This window comes from Homo sapiens, chromosome 7 (genome assembly GCF_000001405.40).
Source record: "Homo sapiens chromosome 7, GRCh38.p14 Primary Assembly".
NCBI classification, from domain to species: Eukaryota; Metazoa; Chordata; class Mammalia; order Primates; family Hominidae; genus Homo; species Homo sapiens.
The window spans coordinates 156,644,196-156,664,091 of NC_000007.14; the positions used below are offsets into that span (position 1 = coordinate 156,644,196).

The following is a 19,896-nucleotide window of genomic DNA, read 5'->3' on the forward strand; positions in this document are numbered from 1 at the left end:
GTCTAATTTAATTATAGTGAAGCAGCGTGGGTTTGTTTAGGCATGCACAGGTTTATGGGTCATAATGAATTTATTCATATTATAATTAAGGCTTTCATAATTAAATGAAAAGATATTCCTGTATTGTTAACATAAATGCTGAGACAAGGGTCTGCTCCTACTTAGGTAACAATGAGTCAAGCATTCCTTACTATTTGATTTGGTTGTATGTGCCATCAAGGTTGAGTATTGAAGCCTCAGTTCTCTTCTAAATGATATATTACATAATACTCCTCTAAATATGACTTTTTTCCTACTTTTTAGGGTCACTCATCTAAGAAAGATAACTTGGCAGTCAATGCAGTTGCTTTACAAGATCACATTTTACATGATCTTCAACTTCGAAATCTTTCAGTTGCAGATCATTCTAAGACACAAGTACAAAAGAAAGAGAACAAATCTCTAAAAAGAGATACAAAGGCAATAATAGATACTGGACTTAAAAAAACTACACAGTGCCCCAAACTAGAAGACTCAGAAAAAGAATATGTTCTTGATCCCAAACCGCCGCCGTTGACTTTGGGTAAGCTGACGTAGTCATTCATCTTTTGGCTTATTAGGGCTAAAAAAATCTATTGAGATTAATAGTATAATTTTTTATGTTACAGAAATAACTTATTTATAATTATACAGAGAGGTGTGTATGTATTGAAGGTATGTATGTATTGAAGTTTAAAAATGATAGGGGACCATTAGAGCAAGAAGGTAAAGATAGTAATGGTAAGTAGAATAAGTAAAAATGGGAGAACAAAAGAAATATCTATTGATTCACATTGATAAAAATAAATAATTGAGTAAATAAATGATGGAAAAGAAAAATCCCTTATAGTAGAATGAATATAACTCATAAGGATAGTAGACGGGGATAGAAAATCACCTTTGGCAAACACCACAGTAATGATCATCAATACTGAAATTAGGAATGAGAAAAATTTACGTACAGACACAGAATATTGAGGTAGTTTCTCCAGAGATGCAAGTACATGGCAGGGAGAAAAACAATAACTTCACAATTACTTCAGCTGTACAGTTGTAACGCTTGGCAAGCAGCACCTGAACCAAGTAATCCTAGTTAGGTCAGCAGTAACGCACGGGCCAGCATCATGTGTCTCCTGCTGAAAGGTACAACATCACTTCTGTGGCATTCTTACCAAAATGTATATCTGAATTTAATCATGAGGAAACCTCAGACCAGTCCAAGTGAAAGACATTCCACACAGTTCCTGGCTAGTACTCTTCAAAAGTATCAAGTCAACAGAAGCAAATGAAGACCTAGCAACTGTTCCAGATTACAGGAGACCCAGGGGACATAGCTGCAAGTGCAATCTGTGATCCTGGATCAGATCCTAGTTCAGAAAAAAGACATCAGTGTGACAGAGAACCAGATCTGCAGAAGGCATGTAGGCTAATTGATAGATTATAGCAACATTAATTTTGTGGTTTTGATCTTTGTACCAGGGTTATATAAAAGGTTAACATTTGGGGTTAAGAACATACGATAATATTTTCTTTTTGCAAGTGTGAATATGTATTTAGAGTAAGACCAAAACTTGCAACAAATCAGGAATTTCAAAACAACATGAAATGTATCCCAAACAAAAATCAATAAAAATAGCATAATATTTTGTATTAGTTAGCTGCCTGAAATATCTCTGTAATACTTTTTCCATCTCTTTTGATTGCTAGATACTCTTTGATCATATTTTCATGTGACAATAATTCTGTAATGTCATTCTCTATAGAAATAAGTCAGCCTTACCTCCGTCATGGCTGATTGAAATTCTTTATGATAGGTGGGATGCATATAGCATGCAACTTCACACACATTCTTACTGTGTATGGTATTGCTACAAGTTTGTGCCTGTAAATAAAGGCATGCAAATCAATTCCATTTCTTCTAATTAATAAAAGGAGATGTATTATGCACTTATAATTGTAAATGCTGTTTTTAAGGATATTCGTTTCCCAGTGCTGCCACAAGCAATTAGTACAAACTGGGTGGGTTAAAACAAAAGAAATGTATTCTCTCAGTGTCCTGGAGGCCAGAAGTCCAAAATGGCGCTGTTGGCAGGGTTCTACAGAAGAATCCTAACTTACCTTTCCCTGGTGGTTCCTGGCATTGCTTAGCTTGTGGCAGCGTCACTCCAATCTCTGCCTCTGACTTCACAAAACCTTCTTCTCTAGGTGTGATTGTACTCTCCCTTTCCTCTTCTTATAAGGATACCATTCATAGGATGTACAGCCAACTTTAAACCAGTATGACCTCATCTTAACTACATCTGCAAAGACCCTATTTCCAAATAAGGTCAACATCCAGAGGTTCCAGGTGAATAAGAATTTTGAGATGACACAATTCAACCCAGTACATCAAGTATGTCCCTGATAGGGGAGAACTTCCATTTAGATTAGGCATCAATGAGAACGGAATCCTTCACTTACATTTGTTGTCTGGAAGACTTTTTCACAGCATCAAGCTAAGTACTTTTCATACTTTGTTCCTTATCCACTACTCACATATATTACTATGTTGATAGGTACCAGAGGTCTTTTGATAGCTCACAGTGGCTAGGCTATGGTTTGAATGTTTGTCCCCTCCAAAACTCATGTTGAAATTTCATTTTGTTTTGTTTTTTTTGAGATGGAGTCTTGCTCTGTTGCCCAGGCTGGAGTGCAGTGGTGCGATCTTGGCCCACTGCAACCTCTGCCTTCCGGGTTCAAGTGATTCTCGTGCCTCAGCCTCCCAAGTAGCTGGAATTACAGGTGTGTGCCACCACACCCAGCTAATTTTTGTAGTTTTAGTAGAGATGGGGTTTTGCCATGTTGGCCAGGCTGGTCTTAAACTCCTGACCTCAGGTAATCCACCCGCCTCAGCCTCCCAAAGTGTTGGGATTAAAGGCGTGAGTCACCATGCCTGGCCTGTTTTTTTTTAATTTTTTGTTTGTTTTTTGTGTGTGTTTCTTCTTTTTTATTTATTTTTATTTCAATAGCTTTTGTGGTACAAGTGGTTTTTGGTTACATGGATGAATTATATAGTGGTGAATTCTGAGATTTTAGTGCCACCACCAGAGTAGCCTACCCTGTACCTAACGTGCAGTCTTTTTATCCCACACCCTCCCACCCTCCGCCTCCTGAGTCTCCAATGTCCATTATACCACTGTGTATGCCTTTGCATACTCGTATCTTAGCTTCCACTTATAAGTGAGAACATACAACATGAGTTACTTCACTTGGAATAATGACCTCCAGTTCCATCCAAGCTGCTGCAAAGGACATTTTTTCATTCTTTTTTGTGGCTGAGTAGTATTCCATGGTGTATATATACCACATTTTCTTTATCCACTCATTGGTTCATGGGCACTTAGGTTGGTTCCGTATCTTTGCAGTTGTGAATTGGGCTGCAATAAACATACGTATGCATGCATCTTTTTCATATAATGACTTCTTTTCCTTTGGGTAGACACCCAGTAGTGGGATTGCTGGATCGAGGGATAGATCCACTTTTAGTTATTCAAGGAGTCTTCATACTGTTCTCCATAGAGGTTGTACTAATTTACATTCCCACCAGCAGTGTATAAGCATTCTCCTTGCACCACATCAACGCCAACATCTGTTGTTTTGTGACTTTTTAGTAATGGTCATTCTTGCAGGAATAAGGTGGTATCTCACTGTGGTTTTAATTTGCATTTCCCTGATGACGAGTGACGACCATTTTTTCATGTTTGTTGGCCATCTGCATATCTTCTTTTGGGAAATATCTGTTCGTATCATTTGCCCTCTTTTTGATGGGATTATTTGTTTTTTTTTTTTCTTGCTGATTTGTTTGAGTTCCTCGTAGGTTCTGGATACTAGTCCTTTGCTGAGAATTCTTCATACTGTTTTTACAACCTTTTGTAAATCTGAAATTATTTTAAACCGAAAAGTTAGAAATATGATTTTTTATTGATAGGCATGGAAAATAGGTTTGGTTGAGGATGGCGTGTCTTGGCGCAGGTCAGATGGATCTGGAGGTGCTGGAAGATCTGTGTGTTGGAGTCACACAAGGTGGAGGGGACCTGTTTCCACAGCGACGCCAGGGGAGATATTTGATGCTGTCTTCCTCTGAACTTCTGCTAACAAGCTCGATGTCTTCTAGAAAACAGCATGGCTCATGAACGTGTTGAGACTTGGAATAATGTCGTACAGTAGTTTAGTGAAGATCTTCTGTTGTACCTGTATGGTTTATGTAGATGACCAAATAGTTTCATCATAATCAATCTTAAGAGTTTTATCAGGAAAAATTTAAATTAGATATAAAGAGGAACGTCCCAATTTGGAAAATAAGTAAAGTTATTAAGGAAAATAGATGAGACCTTTTTTCAGGACCTCTTTATGGAAAAAATCTTGATTGTGCGTATTAGTTACTAATGACATTGAACCATATGCTCTTTACTGTCTATACATAATATTCCACTTGGATTTCTGTCTTTTCTTGCTGATTTACTGGAGTTCTTTGCATATTCTACATAGTAATCTCTTGTTGATTTAGCCACTGAAAATATCTTCTGTTCTTTTACCATCTTTTAAATTATATCTATTGTTTTATATTGAATACAATTTTCATTCTGATTAATGTTAAATCCATTGTTTTGTTTTGTTTTGTTTTTTTCACTTTATTGCTGTTTGGGAGAGACTTTAGATATACTTCACCATTCTGAGAGTGCAAAGATTTTCCTACATTTTCTTTATTTACCTTTAACCTTTTACCTTTCACATTTAGATGTCACCACAGTTTGTTTTGCTTATGATACTGGGAAAATCGACGAGATTAAAGCGTGTTTTGTTCTCTCCTTCCAAGGCTTCTGCTTCTATGTCAGTATTGCACTGTTTTGATTAATAGAGTCTTGCAATATGTCTTAATAGCTGCTAGGAAAAGACGTTTCCTCTTTTTTTTTTTCCTAAAACTGCCTCATTTTCTACATAAAATTCTGCTGGAGATTTTTTTTGAATTGGATTTATAGATCGGGGAAATACTGTATTTACAGTGTTATCATCTGATCCACAAATATGGTAGCATCTCACACCATTTAGGTCTTTTTGTCTCTGATTCCTAGGGGTTTTCTGAGTAAGTTGATCTCTGCAGTGATTCTTATTGTCTGTGCCTCTCTACTTTTATGCCCCTTCTTTTTTTTCCCTGCTTTTTTTTTAATCTGGCCAGGATCTCCTGAGCTGTGGTGAATACGAGTAGTAATACCTAGCATTTCTGTCTCGTTCCTTAGCCTAACACGTTTCATTTACTTACTTATGTGATGTTTGCCCTTTGTTTATTGTTGTTTTGTGTTGTTTGTTGGCCTTTATCTAATTATAAAATTTCCCTTTTAGCCAGTTGCTACAGGTTTTTAAACTCATTAATAGGTGTACTTTTTTAAATGCTTTTTTTCCTGCAACTTTTTAGATGAGCGTGTTTGTTGTGGGTTTTCTCCTTGAGTTTGTTTGTGCCGTAAATTACAGTGACAGACTCTGATGTTGAATCTTCGTGCATAGCTTGAATAAACCCTACTTGCCCACGGTGTTTTTCACATTCACTGTTGCATTCTGATAACTAATTCTCGTTTACGATGTTTGACGTTTAACCATGGATTACCCTGGACTATGATTGTCCTTGTCTGGTTTTATTATCAAAGCCATATAAGCTTCACCAAATAAGTTGGGCAGTGTTCCCTCTTTTTCAGGATTCTGGAATAACAGAAAATAGGGATGATATGTTCCTTAAAAGTTTGGGGAAACTCACTTGTAAAATCATCTGGGCCTGAGGCTTTTTTTCCTTTAAGCGGGGTGAGGAGAGGTGATGGGTTAGGATGCATTTGGCTGCAAATATACAAGCAACACACTGAAAGTGATGTAAAGCTTAATGGTGTGTGTCATTGTTCACAGCAGTTCTGGTTTGGTGGCTTATTGATGTTTGCCGGGACCAGCCTCCTTCCGGTGCTGCCGTCGGGAGGTGCTGCCCCGTGCATGGACACAAGAGGGTGCACAGCCCCAGGGTCAGTCCTCAACAACAAGGGAGGAGCCAGAAAGGCAGGGGAGAAAGCTCCCAACAGACCTTCCTTCCGCTTCACCTGAGACGGTCACATGCCCATTGATAGTCTAAAAATTGGCAAAGGGTAGCAAGACTTCCACGACATGCTTAGATCCATCAAGAGACCTCTGTGAGGCTGAGCCCATTTCCACTGACGCGCAGTGGGGTTCTAAAGGCAAGATGGGTGCTGGACGTGCTATTGATTTTAAACATTATTACATTGTGGCCAGAGAGCACAGCAGTTTGCTGAAATCTGTCAATACAATTTACCTATTCTCCCTCCCGTTCTAAGGTCTTGATTAGTTTATAAATATAAGGCCAGGTTTGCATGATGGGGAGATGTGGATGTTTGAAGTTGAGGCAGTTGACATTGACCATAGCAGAGTCTGGATTGTACAGCAAGTGCCCACCCAAGTCTAAGAGGAAGGGTGGTGCTGGGGGCCCTGTCTCTCCCTGCTCCCACACCTTGAGCCAAAGGCAAAGAGCTGCCCTGAGGCAGCGCCCCTCCTCCGCAACCTCAGTCTCAGCCTCTTCAGTCTTACTGTTCATTTGTTTCTCTGCAGGCCAGGTGCTCTCTCACTAATGGCCATCTGCACATCCTTTTCCTCCATCTAGAAAACCTCCCCCTTCACCTGCTGCTGTTACTCTTAACCCTGCGGGTCTCCATTTAATGCCACTTTGGTCAAGTAACCTTCTCTGGGGTCACAGCCCCATGCATCCTGCACACCATTCTCCATAGCGTTCATCACACTTGTAGCTGCTTGATTCTTATCAGAAGATCCATGGGCATAGTTTTAGAAGTAAAATTGTTCTATGAGGATTATAACAGAAAGTGTAGCATTCCCCTGACCCATTTTGGGCATTACTCTAAGGCAGCCATTTTCAAATCCTTTGGTTCATTCTTCTGGTATTATTTTTAATATTTCTTTTTTTTTTTTTTTTGACACACAGTCTTGCTCTGATGCCCAGGCTGGAGTGCGGTGGCACAATCTCGGCTCACTGCAACCTCCACCTCCCGGGTTCAAGCGATTCTCGTGCCTGAGCCTCCTGAGTAGCTGGGATTACAGGTGTGTGCCACCACACCTGGCTAATTTTTGTATTTTTAGTAGAGACGGGGTTTCACCATGTTGGCCAGGCTGGTCTCGAACTCCTGACTTCAGGTGATCCACCCACCTCGGCCTCCCAAAGTGCTGAGATTACAGGCGTGAGCCACCATGCCCAGCCATATTTTTAATAATTCTAAATAACATGTCTACGCTGCTGTTTTGTTAATTTTCAGTTCTGGATATCTCTTCTTACTGCAGAAGATCGAGATTTAGCATATTGTTTTCATAACTTGTGGTTAGACTAATAACATTCAGTGTTTACTCTGTTACAATTCCGTGACTTCACTCACAGCTGAGCAATGTGGTGTTCTATATTACAGTTTCCTTCTCAGACATTTTTCTATTCTACCTGAAGTTCTGTCTCATTTTTTCACATTTTAGTTTCCTCTATCATCACTCATCACTGATTCATCCCTAAAATCTCCTCCAGAAATACATTATCTCAATACATTAAAATATACCAGGGCACTTTATCAATGGGGACGTTGCTTCTGGAATCCTCCGTGGTCCCCTCCCCCGGCCCCTCCCCGGGCTCCCTCTTGAGCAGCATCCCGGGACCCTGGGCTCTCTCCTTGGATTCTGTCTCCCTGGACCTCATGGCGGCCTCCTCCTTGGTTTCTTCCCTCGTAGTGGCGACGCTTCTCTGTCAGTAGCTCCCTGGAGGAGTGCGGAGGAGACCCACACAGAAGCTCACATGTGTAACAATGTCTTTGCTCTTTTCTCACATTTGATTGATAGCTAATAAGGAATCTTGATATGGAAATCTTTCCTTCCTCCGAATTTTGAAGGAATTGTCTTCTCCTGTCTGTTGTGCTGTGGATGAGTCTGATGCAGTTCTGATTCCTGATCCTTTTTTGAGGCCTGTTTTTTTGAGTCTGCTTTCTGTCTCCGAGATTCTCACAGTGACGGGATTCGATGTTCTGAGTACTTACTGGGCCCTCTCAAACCAGAAGCTCATGTCCTTTGCTTCTGGGAGATGTTTTGGACTATTTTCTTTAAAATTTTTACTCCCCATTTTCCATGTTTTCTTTCTAAAATGCCAGTTTTTCAGATGTCACAACAACACCTAGACCGGTCCCTTGATTTTCTTATTTTCTGTCTCCTGATATATGTTTTTCTGTGAGATTACAGTCACGTGCCACATAGCAATGTTTCAATCAACAATAAACCACAGTGCTCCCATAAAATTATAATGGAGTTGAAAAATTCCTACCACTTCATGACGTCTTGATGACTCTGACCCTGTGTTGGCCTAGGCTAATATGTGTGTTTGTGTCTTAGTTTTTAACAAAAAAGTTAAAAAAAAAAGATTTGAGAAATAGAAAAAGCTTATAGAATAAGGATAAGAAAGAAAATATTTTGTATTAACTGAAAAATTAGCTGAGCATGGTATTGTGTGCCTTTGGTCCCAGCTTCTCAGGAGGCTGAGGTGGGAGGATAGCTTGAGCCCAGGAGACACAGCCTGCAGTGAGCCATGACCACATCACTACGTGCTAGCCTGGACAACATACTGTTTTAAGCTAAATGTTATTGTAAAAAATTTAAAAGTTTAGAGAGTAAAAAAGTTATAGGAAGCTAACTTTAATTTATTATTAAAGAAAATATATTTTTATAAATTTAGTGTAGCGTAAGTGTAGACTGTTTATGATGTCTACAGTGGTGTACAGTCATGTCCTAGGCCTTCACACTCACTCAGCACTCACTCACTGACTCACCCAGAGCAACTTCCAGGCCTGCAAGCTCCATTCATGGTGAGTGCCCTACACAGGTACACCATTTTTAATCTTTTATACATATTTTTACTATACCTTTTCCATGTTTGGAAGCACAGATCCTTACCATTGTGTTACAGTTACCTGCAGTATTCAGTACAGTAACATGCTGTGCAGGTGTGTAGTCTAATCAGCTGTACCGTGTAGCTTTGGTGTGTGGTGGGCTGTACCAGCTAAGCATGTATACATATGCTGTGATGTTAGCAAGATGACGAAATCGCCTAACAGCACATTTCTTAACAACAATCGCCTGTTGTTAAGCATCTCAGGACTGTATCTTAGCTTTCTCTTCCAGCCTTTCAGTGGACGTTCACATTTCTACTCTAAAAGCCCAAGAGCTCTTTCTGTACTCGAAAGTGTCCCTTCATAGTTTTCTGTCATGTTTTGTCGATGTAACATTTTGTCTTCCATTTCTGAAGATATCCTTGTAAGTCGATGCTTTTTTATGCATTGACCCGTCTTTGGGGTGCGGGGAGGTGGTGGAAGGTGAACTTCGCTTCCTGCATTTTGCCTGAGGATGTTGCAGTTGCTTTTTCAAAGTGAGTGTTTCCCACCGCACTATCAGCTCGATGCCGAGACAGCACATGGTGGGTACCCACGTGTTATTGAAATAAGAACTTTATTCTGACCGTGATGATACGTCATAGAAAGTTTTTAGCAGGGGAGGTGCAGATTGATGTAGAGGCCACTGGTGGCAGAGCAAGGTGAGCTGGGAGAGGCAGTGCTGAAGGCTGAGGGCTGAGGCAGGTGAGAACTGGGAGAAACTTGGGCCAATACGTGTGAACAATGAGTATTCCTCAGTTTTTCTTTCATAAACTTGGATATCACTCCTGCTTGCCTTATTGAGTTATTGGGAAATGAAATAAGATATGGGAAATGCTTTGTAAATAAAAAATAAACGTATTGAAAATGTCAGGTATTATTACCACTGACTTTTGCGCCCTCATAGAAAAACGGCATCCTATATACAGTCCACCATTTGTATCCGTGGGTTTGGCATCCACAGATTCAACCAGCCACAGATCAAAATTTTAATAAATGAATAAAAAATAACAATACAACAATATAATAAAAATAATACAGATTAAAAACAATATAGTATAACAGCTATTTACATAGCACTTGCATTAGGAATTATTGGTAATCGAGATGACTGGCAGTATACAGGAGGATATGCATGGGTTGTATGCAAATACTCCACCATCTTCTATCAGGGACTTGAGCATCCTTGGAATGTCCTGGAACACATTCCCTGTGGATACCAATGGACAGCTTCTATTGTGAAATAAAGTATGTGATCTATATGTAGTTCTTTAATCTTTGTTTGCAAATGGTGTCATTAAAGTTATAGGTGGGTGCCATATGCTAAAAGACACTCTAACTCCTGTCCTGTGCTGTCTTACTTTAGCACAGAAGTTGGGCCTCATTGGGCCTCCACCACCTCCACTGTCATCAGATGAATGGGAGAAGGTGAAACAGCGCTCTCTCCTGCAAGGGGACTCCGTGCAACCATGCCCCATCTGTAAAGAAGAATTCGAGCTTCGTCCTCAGGTGTTTAGCATACGAGGGTGAGCTAGAGAGCTCCTGGGCTGTTTCCTAGGGACGAGGCCCAGAGCTGGAGCCTAAGATTCCAAGCTTCCTTTTTCCAGTTTCATCCTCCTGTGTGAGCCTCACACACTTCCATTTTGTTTTCCATTAATTAAAGTGTGTGAAGAGCTAAACACCCTCATTAAATAGTTTTGTTTGTTTACTAACTGGTATTCTCAAGTACTAAAGTTTGTACAAAAGGAATGTTTCTGTTCAACAGGCCCCATGCGGCTGTGCAGACAACTGGGGGGCTTCCCAGGAGCAGCTGTGTCCCAGCGCGGGAAGGATGAAAGCAGAGGGACTCTTAAGTGGTTTTGTGATTTGAGTCAGAAAAGAAAAAAAAAACTGTGCTTGAATGTCTCCAAAGAATTTGTGAGAGAATCTTTAAGAAAAGTAAAATCTTTTAATGATTTTTATTCATGAAACTTTACCATAGTAAGACTGATGATACTACTCTGGGTTAACAGATAATATACACGCGCGCGCACACACACACACACACACACACAGAGAGAGAGAGAGAATGCATATATATATATAGAGAGAGAGAGAGAGAATGCATATAGGGTTTTTTCTATACATATTTTGTCTGCCTAACTAAACTATTGTCCCCTGAAGTTGGGGACACTTAGATTTATCAGAAGTGTGTGTGTGCGTGCACGTGCGTGCGTGGTTGCCCTGTAACAATTTCCCACGTGGTGTGGCATTACGCTTCCTGCATAGCAGGCCCTCAGAGATTTGCTGAGAAAACACAGCAAATACAGTTAAAATCAGCCTTGGAGTTTGTAGCCTAGGAACCCAGGCTTATTACAATCTGGGCAAATGAACTCTGAGTCTTCATTGAATTTGAGTAGGTTTCATCAGCAAGAAAGCTCACAACAGTTACACTTCTATTCACTAATTTGAATTCATAAGTTACTTTAGACATACTTATTATATTCCAGTTCTCTATCAGGACCTAATCTTACATATGTGAAAGTTGGGTATTTTGGACAGATTTTAGCCCTGAAACCACAAATTGTCTAGGATAATTTAGTAATTTAATGTAGCAAAACTGTGAATAAAGCCAGAGGGTGTCTTTCTGGCTAAGCACCCTCTTTCTTACTTATACTAAAATATCCAACCCGAGTGTCTGTATGAAGAATGAAAAGTGAAAGTTACTATCTTATGGGGATCAGGGTGTACCCTGCCCAACATTTCTTTCTGATTTTTATAAATTTCTCACTAAATTCCATTATTTTTACTTGGTTTTGATATAAGACCCATCCTGTATATTTTGCATTTCCAGTGATCATTTCCATGTTCAGATTTTTCCTTAGTTATAAACAATAGTTGGCATTTTTATAACATTTAGTGATTTCAGAGGGCCTTCAATTAATTCCGTATAGTAGGCATTCTGCCCATTTAGCAGATGAGGGAATAAAAACAATTCAAATGACTCATAGTAGGCCGACGCAGAAAGTATCAGAGTCCTGCTGGAATCCAATCCTAACTTCTAGGCCATTTTTAGTGTGTTTTCCACTACTTAATCCTTGATTTTTGTTACATCAGAGAATGTTTGCCAATAACAAATATTTGGGGACACTTAAAAAGATAACACTTTAATATACTGACGTCTAATGTTGCTCCATATAGATAGAATATATGTTGATAAAACACTGAAAAGTATTCTATAAAGAATGAATTAAGTATAGAAAAGATTGCTATTAAATGGTGGTAATGAAAAAGGACCCTATTACTGAGTTTATTCAATTCAGACTTACTCTTGGCAATAAGTTTCAAGAAAAGGTTTTACAACTTTCTGAGTTCTAGTTATTTCTGTATTTCTTCCATTTAAGAAGAAAAGCATACATTGAGTGAAGGCAGGTGGGATTCACTTTAAAAACTGTTAAGTTTTCCCCACAGCAGGCATCCTGGGCCGGCTGAGATTGAAACCTCACCCAGGAGTGCCCCAGACTGTGGTCACCCAAGTCAGATTCTTGACAAAAAGGGAAAACCCTTCGCCTGACCCCACCGCTTTGCTCAGTCTCACAAGTTTCCCCTGCTTTCCTCCCCGTTGCTGAAAGCAGCCCCTCCCAAGGGAAGCAGGAGCCTGGCCTTTGTGTGGCAGCCCGCAGGGCCTGGCGCTGGTGGGCTGGCGGCTGTCCCTTCTACTAAGTACCCACTGCCTTCTTCTTCATTTGGTCTAAGCTTCAGTCTTTTGTCACAGCCCAGTATATCACTGTTTAGTGGGGAATTTGGGTCACAGAAAGGTGAAGTTTTCTTGTGAGCACACTTTCCCTGCATTTAAAAAAGAAAAAAGACTCCATGATTTGTTGCTATTTAAATTTAAGACTGTCAGAATTATATCTCAGTAGAGCTATGATTTCACAAAAATTGGGGGGCATAACTGAGCTGAACAAAGACCTAAATGGTATTTACTTAGCGTTTCCCTGGCCCCACTGGACAGGCCCCCCTCCTCACCCCTCCAGTTTGCAGTCACTGCCCGCATCTAAGGGAAACTTTCATTTTGTCATTGTTTCGCTCTTAAGTATACACTCATTTTAATAGTTAAATATCAAACTTCATGTGTTTATTTGATATTTCAGATCATGAATTTTTGTTATTTAGAGTATATACTTGTGCTGTGCTAAACAAACAATAAATAGTATAAATATCAAAGTTATTAATTTGCTTTTTTAAAGAAATAATACAGCTTACCTTCTAAGCATTCAGGATTTTAACTGTTGGATACATGCTGCTTCTCTTTTGTAAACTTCAACGTCGTTCTGTTTCCTCATGAACAGGTGCTGCTTTCATGCTCCCATGTGTTCCACAAAGTAAGTCCACCCCTCACGCCTGCCCAGGTGCTGCACATGTCGCTCTCACAGTGCAGAGAAACCATAGTCATTTTCAAGGCTCCTAAGGAGAGCCATTTATTTTATTCATCACCACCATCTATAGTTAAAGAAACATGACTGTAGGCTGCAGTACAATTCATCCTATTTTGAAAATCATGAGTTTTGTGACAAAAGAACCACAAATGTTTATGTAACAGATTGTTGTCAGTAATGCATGTCAAAGTGACAGCTAAATTCACATGATCGATCTGCATGTGGCCCCATACACACGCGTGACTCACCTTTGTGCTAGTGGATTTCAGAAGTTTTTGATGTCTCTGCATGTATATTCTTGTAAGAAATCATTTTTGGAACAGGTTTTGTGAGGAAGGTGGTAGCACCTGATGAAGCCTCCTCACTTTATAACCTAAATTGGGCTAAGTCTCATAGTTATGGGAGAAAAGAACACTATAATTAGAACACTAACATTGGAAGTAAAAACGTTGTTTATAAGTAATTACTTGTAAAATTTTAAGTGAAATGTTTTTCTTCAGGCATGTCTTCAGGCTTTTGAAAAGTTCACAAATAAGAAAACCTGTCCTCTCTGTAGAAAGAACCAGTATCAAACCCGAGTGATACACGATGGGGCCCGCCTGTTCAGAATCAAGTGTGTGACCAGGTGAGGACGCCAGGCCCGTTTGGCGCTAAGCAGACACAGATCAGGCTATGACAACTAACTTGTTTTTTGAATAGTGGGATTTTATCTCTCTTCTTGGCCACCATAATTTCCCCAGGGCCTTGTACAGCACAGGGCTTATAACAACTACTGAAGTATTGGTTGACATAGAGTCATCATAAATTAGTCATTTTCAAATATCTGTGTTTTAGAATCCAAGCCTACTGGAGAGGATGTGTTGTTAGAAAGTGGTACAGAAACCTGAGGAAAACAGTACCTCCCACAGATGCCAAGTTAAGAAAAAAATTCTTTGAAAAAAAGGTAGGTAAAGATCATTATGTTCTCCAGATATGGTCTCCGTGCGGGTGGTTCACTTGGGGTCAGGAAGGCTAACAGAGGTGGTAAAACTTTGAGACTTACTTCACTTTGAGGGCTTTTTAAAAATGGGTGAGATGCTGCTAAAAATCCTGTTTAACTTTAGTTGGCTTTCCAACCTAGATGTTCAAATACTTCTAGACTTTCTTTTCTAGTTAAATCATAAAATTAGGTTAAATCAAAGCAACTTCTGTTTGGCCATTTTGTGCTAATTGTTTAAATAAACTTATCTCTTCAGACACAAGACTGGAAACCAGCTTAATTTTTCCCATCTCCTGGGCTATATGTAAATGAAGACATCTGCTGCACATCTCATAGTAATGAAAATAGAAGCTGCCTATAAAAATAAAGCCCCCACATGCTACCATTGTATTGAGTACCTCGTGGGGTCATCACAATGAGCTTTAGAGCTAACTTCCATGTCTACCCTTCCTCTTAACCACTATTTATGCTTTAGTTTTACTTTTGGGGGACTTATTTAACAATTTCCCATTCCTTGTCCCCATATGAAAAGGACAGTCCTACCCCATCAGCCTGTGGCTTCAGGCAAACAGCAGCAGCTCCGAGGCTGTCATATGAAAGCCATCACTTCTTCCTGGCAGTGTTGGCCTGAGAAGAGCTGTAGCATTTATAATGGCCCAGCACACAGTAGGTGCTGGAAATTCTGTATTTATTATCACTATTAACTCCTTTCCTAGAATATGGAGATGAGTTACTGTGTGTTCTGTTCCTGAGAGCAGTGTCTCTGATCTTCAGAGATCATTCGTCTCGGGTGTTCATTCTCAATTTGGTAAAGGACCGCCATGCACGATTGCGTCATCCTTCCTTTACATTCTTTCCAGTTTTTTATCTTCAGTCGTTGACAGTCAGTTGTGTTCTCTGGGCTACTCTTAGTAATTTCTAATATGTCATAGTAGGTTGTCTCTTAAATCAGAAGTGATTTTTTGTCACCTCTTATACAATTTTAATTACAGATTTGATAGTCATTTTACCTTATATATATAAATATTTTTCATGTGCACACATCATTTTATAAGAACTCTTGAAGATAAAGGCCCACTGAAAGTGTTGGTGGTCTCAGCCCATTGAACTGGACGAGAACTGGCCCAGGTTGCTGGAAACAAGTGAAGCAACCATTACAATGTGCCTTGTGTTATCTTGTAAAGTAGCCAGTGAAGGTTAAGTTTCAGCGTTCAGTGCTCAGGTGTTCAAATGCTGCAGCCTTCAGCTTCATGGAAAAAGGAAACGAAAAATAACAAAAAGCAAGTGACCAAGAGCAGTCGGGGCAGGGAGACCTGATCAAACAAGTTCCTCAGTTTCTAATTCAGTGTCTCCCACAGAGAGATGGAACTTTACAAGGCAGATTCATAGCTCTGTCCCACTGGACGTTGGGTCCGCTGCCCTGTGGCCATCCCACCTCCCCACAAATACTGTTTTTTGTTTTATCCTTGGTTCATCCCAACTGCTGCCTCCTCGTCCTGAGCCCTCATCGCTCGGAACGCCCCGCTCTGATCCCCGTGTCTGCTTTTCTGAGCACACTCTTGCCCGCCCCCGCATGTCCTGCCCGTTCCTACTGGTTCCCTCTGCCTTGCTTAAAATGTGCCAGTTTTTCAAAGCCTAGCTGAAGCTTTCTTCCAATTTCTTTGGTCTTCTCTAAACCTCTATTGTATGTTTAAACAACACCATCTAAGAGATCAAGAAGAACAGAAGTATGAATGCTATTCTAGCTTGTATATTACAAATGTGGTTTTTCCTTTGGGGCTTTTAAGATGATCTCAGATGATTTCAATAGCAAATTCACTTAAGCTGAATATCTGTGAAGAAACTGATAAGTAAAACTGATTTTTTATTTTTTGCAGGGGTGGTAGTTGAGAACAAACTGTATAAGTTGTTTTTTATTTTTATTTAGAGACAGGGTTTCGTTATATTGCCCAGGCTGGCCTCAAATTCCTGGGCTGAAGCGAACCTCCCACCTCAGCCTCCCAGTTAGCTGGGATTATAGGCAAGAGCCATAGGCTAGGGCAGTGGCTTTCAGACTTTTCCTCAACCACAATAAGAAATATCTTCTAAGCAATGTTGACAGAAAAACCAAACTCTGTAAAGTATTTTAAAGAAGTTGACTCTGACTGATACGAGTGACTGCAGGCCAGGAAACCCACTCTCAAGGAGTCCTGAGAAAGTGCACCCCGGGCGGTTGGATTACGGTTTGGTTTCATACATTTTAGGGAGGCAGGAGTTACAGGCAAAGACATCAGTCAGTACATGGAAGTTATACATTGGTTTGGCCAGAAAGGCGTGATATCTTGAAGTGGGGGTTTACAGATTGTAGGTGGATTCAGAGATTCTTTATTTGCAGTTGGTTAAAGGAGTAGGGCTCTATCTAAATACTGGAGTCAGCAGAAGGGAATCTCTAAGTTGAGGATGCTGCGCAGCAAGACTGATGGCCTGCGGCATGACTGTCCCTTGCCGGGCATGGCCTTAGGTCTTGTTTGTACTTTGGTTTCTTACTGCCTCAGACTGCCGTCAGCCTTATCACTTTTAAAGGAATACTGGTCACTTCAGCTTAAACTCCAGCAAGGAGTGGGCATAAGGGGCATCTCACCTTTCTTCCCATCGTGGCCAGAAATTCCATTGTTAAGGTTTTCCTAGGGCCCCCTTGGCCAAGAGGGGGTTCGTTCTGTTGCTGGGGGCCTTAGGATTTTTTTTTTTTTTTGAGACGGAGTCTCGCTCAGCTGCCCAGGCTGGAGTGCAGTGGCACGATCTTGGCTCACTGCAACCATCGTTTCCCGAGTTCAAGCAATTCTCCTATCTCAACCTCTTGAGTAGCTGGGATTACAGGCACCCGCCATCATGCCCAGCTAATTTTTGTATTTTTTAGTAGACACAGGGATTCCCCATGTTGGCCAGGCAGGTCCTGAACTCCCAGCTTCAGGTGATCTGCCTGCCTTGGCCTCCCAAAGTGCTGGGATTACAGGTGAGAGCCACCATGGCCTGGCCAGGATTTTATTTTTAGCTTACAGCAATGACCCACCACATGTATACAGTTAACAGAAACGTAACTTTCGCAAAGCAAAATCTGCTTTCACTGCAGGCACCACACTGTGTTCATTTTTATTCCACTTCGTTTCCAAAGTGCTGGGCCTACTACATTAATGTTATGGGTCACTGATGGGTTGTAGATATCAGCAGTCTGCATTATCAATAACTGCCACCTTAAACATAATACAAGTGACCGTGTTATCTGCTGAACTGTAATCTTACCTCATTCAAGTTTCAAGTGTGGGGGTGGGGAGGAACAGATGTATACATATACGCACACACACTCAGATCATAGTGAGGTTATACTCATAATTTGTTACATGAATAGGGATCCTATCATGTAACTCTTGCTCACTTAACTCATTTGGCCATAAACACTTGAAATCTGTAAACTCAGATCTCATGTTAAATAAATGAAGATTGAACTTACTGTAAAATAGTGTATTAGCAGTAGGTAGTAGGTGCCTATATGGGTCCATGCCCTATGTGCTTGTATGCCTGTATGGGTAGAACTCAACAGCTGTCCTTTATAATAAAGACCACTTCTTAATCATTTACCAAATGACCTCACCATTTGATGCTTTTTTTCTACCTTTCCAACTTAATAAACTCATTCTGTGAGCGATGGGAATCCTCTGAGAAATGTTAATCTACAATTTTAGAATGCCCTGCATATTTAATGGAATCCAAAAGGTTACTGAACTAGGTTATTGAATTTCACATTACCCAGGTGTGATGGTTAATTTATGTGTCAACTTGACTGGGCTAAGGGATGCTCAGGTTATCTGGTTAAACATTATTGCTGGGTGTGCCTGTGGGTATTTCCAGATGAGCTGAGCATTTGAATCAGTGGACTCAGTAAAGTGAATTGCGTGTGTACACAGGCACAGTCTCACTCTCTTGCGTGTGCTTTCTCTCTGTCTCTGCCTGACTGCTTGACCTGGGACGTTGGTTTTCTGTAGATACACAGAAAGGGAGGTGTACCCATATAAATAGAAATCATTTTAAAATTACAAAATTGTTGTATACAACTTTATGCAATAGAAGTGAAAATATAATTGAAATTACTTCCTGTAAAAATAGCAAACGTGGAAAGAAATTTAAAGTATGAAATGACTGAAAAAAATTATATGAGCATCTCCGTTTTTACTGAAAAGATATTAAATAAAATTTAACAGCCATTCTTTTTTTTTTTTTTTTTTGAGGCACAGTCTCGCTCTGTCACCCAGGCTGGAGTGCAGTGGCGCGATCTCGGCACACTGCAACCTCCGCCTCCCAGGTTCAGGCCATTCTCCTGCCTCAGCCTCCCAAGTAGCTGGGACTACAGGCGCCCACCACCATGCCCGGCTAATTGTAGAGATGAGGTTTCACCATGTTAGCCAGGATGGTCTCGATCTCCTGATCTCGTGATCCACCAGCCTCGGCCTCCCAAAGTGCTGGGATTACAGGCGTGAGCCACTGCACCCGGCCTTAACAGCCATTCTTAATAATGAAAGACACTAGAACTAGAATGAAATTTCCTTGTCACATTAAAAACTATGTGTCAAATACTAAAAACACATTGTTTTAGAGAGTAAAAAACCATAAAGAAAACTAGGTTACTTACTGTCATCACACTTGAGCCAATCCTTGCCAATAACACATGAAAACAAAATATATGTGTGTGCACATATGTGTATATGTTATGCATATTATATAAATCCACACATGTATATTACAATTTTACATTATATTTATATTAAAATAAGCCAAACAAGGAATGTACCACACTGATAAGAAAAAATTTTTTCTGATGGAATAAAAGGCTTGAATAAAATGACAGACATTTTACACTGGAATGAGTAAAAATGTCCACTTACTTTATATAAATTTAATGTAGTTTCTAACTCCCAAAGGAGTAGGATTGGCTGTGCATTTAGGACTTTACAGGTTAACTCTAAAGTTTATCTAAAGAGGTATGAAGAGCTAATAATTTTTTTAAAAGACAGATTGATGAGATAGAACAGCCTTGTTAGATATCAAAATATATAAATTTGGCAACTAAGATTCTTGGGGAATAATAGACAAACAATGAAACAGTAGAAAGTCACACATCTCAGCATACAGGAAATTTTAGTGTACTAAAGAAGGTATTTCAGACCAGTGGAGAAAAAAATTATTTGAGAAAAATCAATTGGGAAATTGAGTTCATTCATCTGAAGGGGGTTAAAGAACACTGCTTTATGCGTTACTGCCAAGAACATTCCACACGGATTACACTCTCAAATACATTTTAATGGATACATGAAATTAATGGAGTCAAATAGCTTCCTGGGTGCCTGCTCTCTGCCTGTGCTTTGTTAGTCAGGGGAGATAACGAGGGAACAGACAAAACACCACAATCCTAGCAGAACGTGTGCAGCTCAGAGCGGGGAGAGAGCCTGGATCT

The 19,896-nt window shown here is 40.1% G+C and overlaps 1 protein-coding gene and 1 long non-coding RNA gene across 36 annotated transcripts in view, besides 4 other annotated features; one reads left to right on the forward strand and one right to left on the reverse strand.

Moving 5' to 3' along the window:
• The window catches only part of RNF32 (ring finger protein 32), a 36,927-nt gene that overhangs the window by 3,992 nt on the left and 13,039 nt on the right, over window positions 1–19,896 (forward strand). For 19 of the 33 annotated variants that reach the window (XM_011515811.3, XM_011515810.3, XM_047419894.1 and 16 more), the window contains 5 exons: window positions 304–562; window positions 10,381–10,523; window positions 13,346–13,378; window positions 13,933–14,057; window positions 14,267–14,375. In XM_011515811.3, the coding sequence (XP_011514113.1) occupies window positions 304–562; window positions 10,381–10,523; window positions 13,346–13,378; window positions 13,933–14,057; window positions 14,267–14,375 (669 nt within the window). Of the gene's footprint in view, window positions 1–303; window positions 563–2,258; window positions 2,366–10,380; window positions 10,541–13,345; window positions 13,379–13,932; window positions 14,058–14,266; window positions 14,376–14,667; window positions 16,156–19,896 lie in introns of those variants that run through there. The other 14 variants (XM_024446666.2, XM_047419904.1, XM_047419900.1 and 11 more) reach the window with 6 other exon arrangements.
• Window positions 6,884–7,103: a silencer, noted in NCBI's record as "fragment chr7:156443773-156443992 (GRCh37/hg19 assembly coordinates)". NCBI's record gives its function as "represses an EF-1alpha promoter that drives an FKBP-Casp9 reporter gene in an ReSE screen in K562 erythroleukemia cells {active_cell/tissue: K562}" and the evidence as "EXISTENCE:reporter gene assay evidence [ECO:0000049][PMID:32094911]".
• On the reverse strand, window positions 9,990–15,764 carry RNF32-AS1 (RNF32 antisense RNA 1). 3 transcript variants are annotated; one of them, NR_189274.1, is made up of 3 exons: window positions 13,681–15,764; window positions 13,260–13,496; window positions 9,990–10,224 (listed from the first exon to the last, which is right to left on the reverse strand). It is a non-coding gene; the product is annotated as an RNF32 antisense RNA 1 (long non-coding RNA). The 3 variants fall into 3 exon arrangements; NR_189275.1 differs by having other exon boundaries at window positions 9,990–10,492; NR_189273.1 differs by lacking the exon at window positions 9,990–10,224 and adding an exon at window positions 10,943–12,839.
• Window positions 12,419–12,468: an enhancer, noted in NCBI's record as "active region_26909". NCBI's record gives its function as "activates an Ori minimal core promoter by ATAC-STARR-seq in GM12878 lymphoblastoid cells {active_cell/tissue: GM12878}" and the evidence as "EXISTENCE:reporter gene assay evidence [ECO:0000049][PMID:35858748]".
• Window positions 12,709–12,758: an enhancer, noted in NCBI's record as "active region_26910". NCBI's record gives its function as "activates an Ori minimal core promoter by ATAC-STARR-seq in GM12878 lymphoblastoid cells {active_cell/tissue: GM12878}" and the evidence as "EXISTENCE:reporter gene assay evidence [ECO:0000049][PMID:35858748]".
• Window positions 12,947–14,146: an enhancer, noted in NCBI's record as "MED14-independent group 3 enhancer chr7:156449836-156451035 (GRCh37/hg19 assembly coordinates)". NCBI's record gives its function as "activates an origin of replication core promoter dependent on BRD2, BRD4, P300/CBP and CDK7 cofactors, and independent of MED14, by STARR-seq in HCT116 cells {active_cell/tissue: HCT116}" and the evidence as "EXISTENCE:reporter gene assay evidence [ECO:0000049][PMID:35650434]".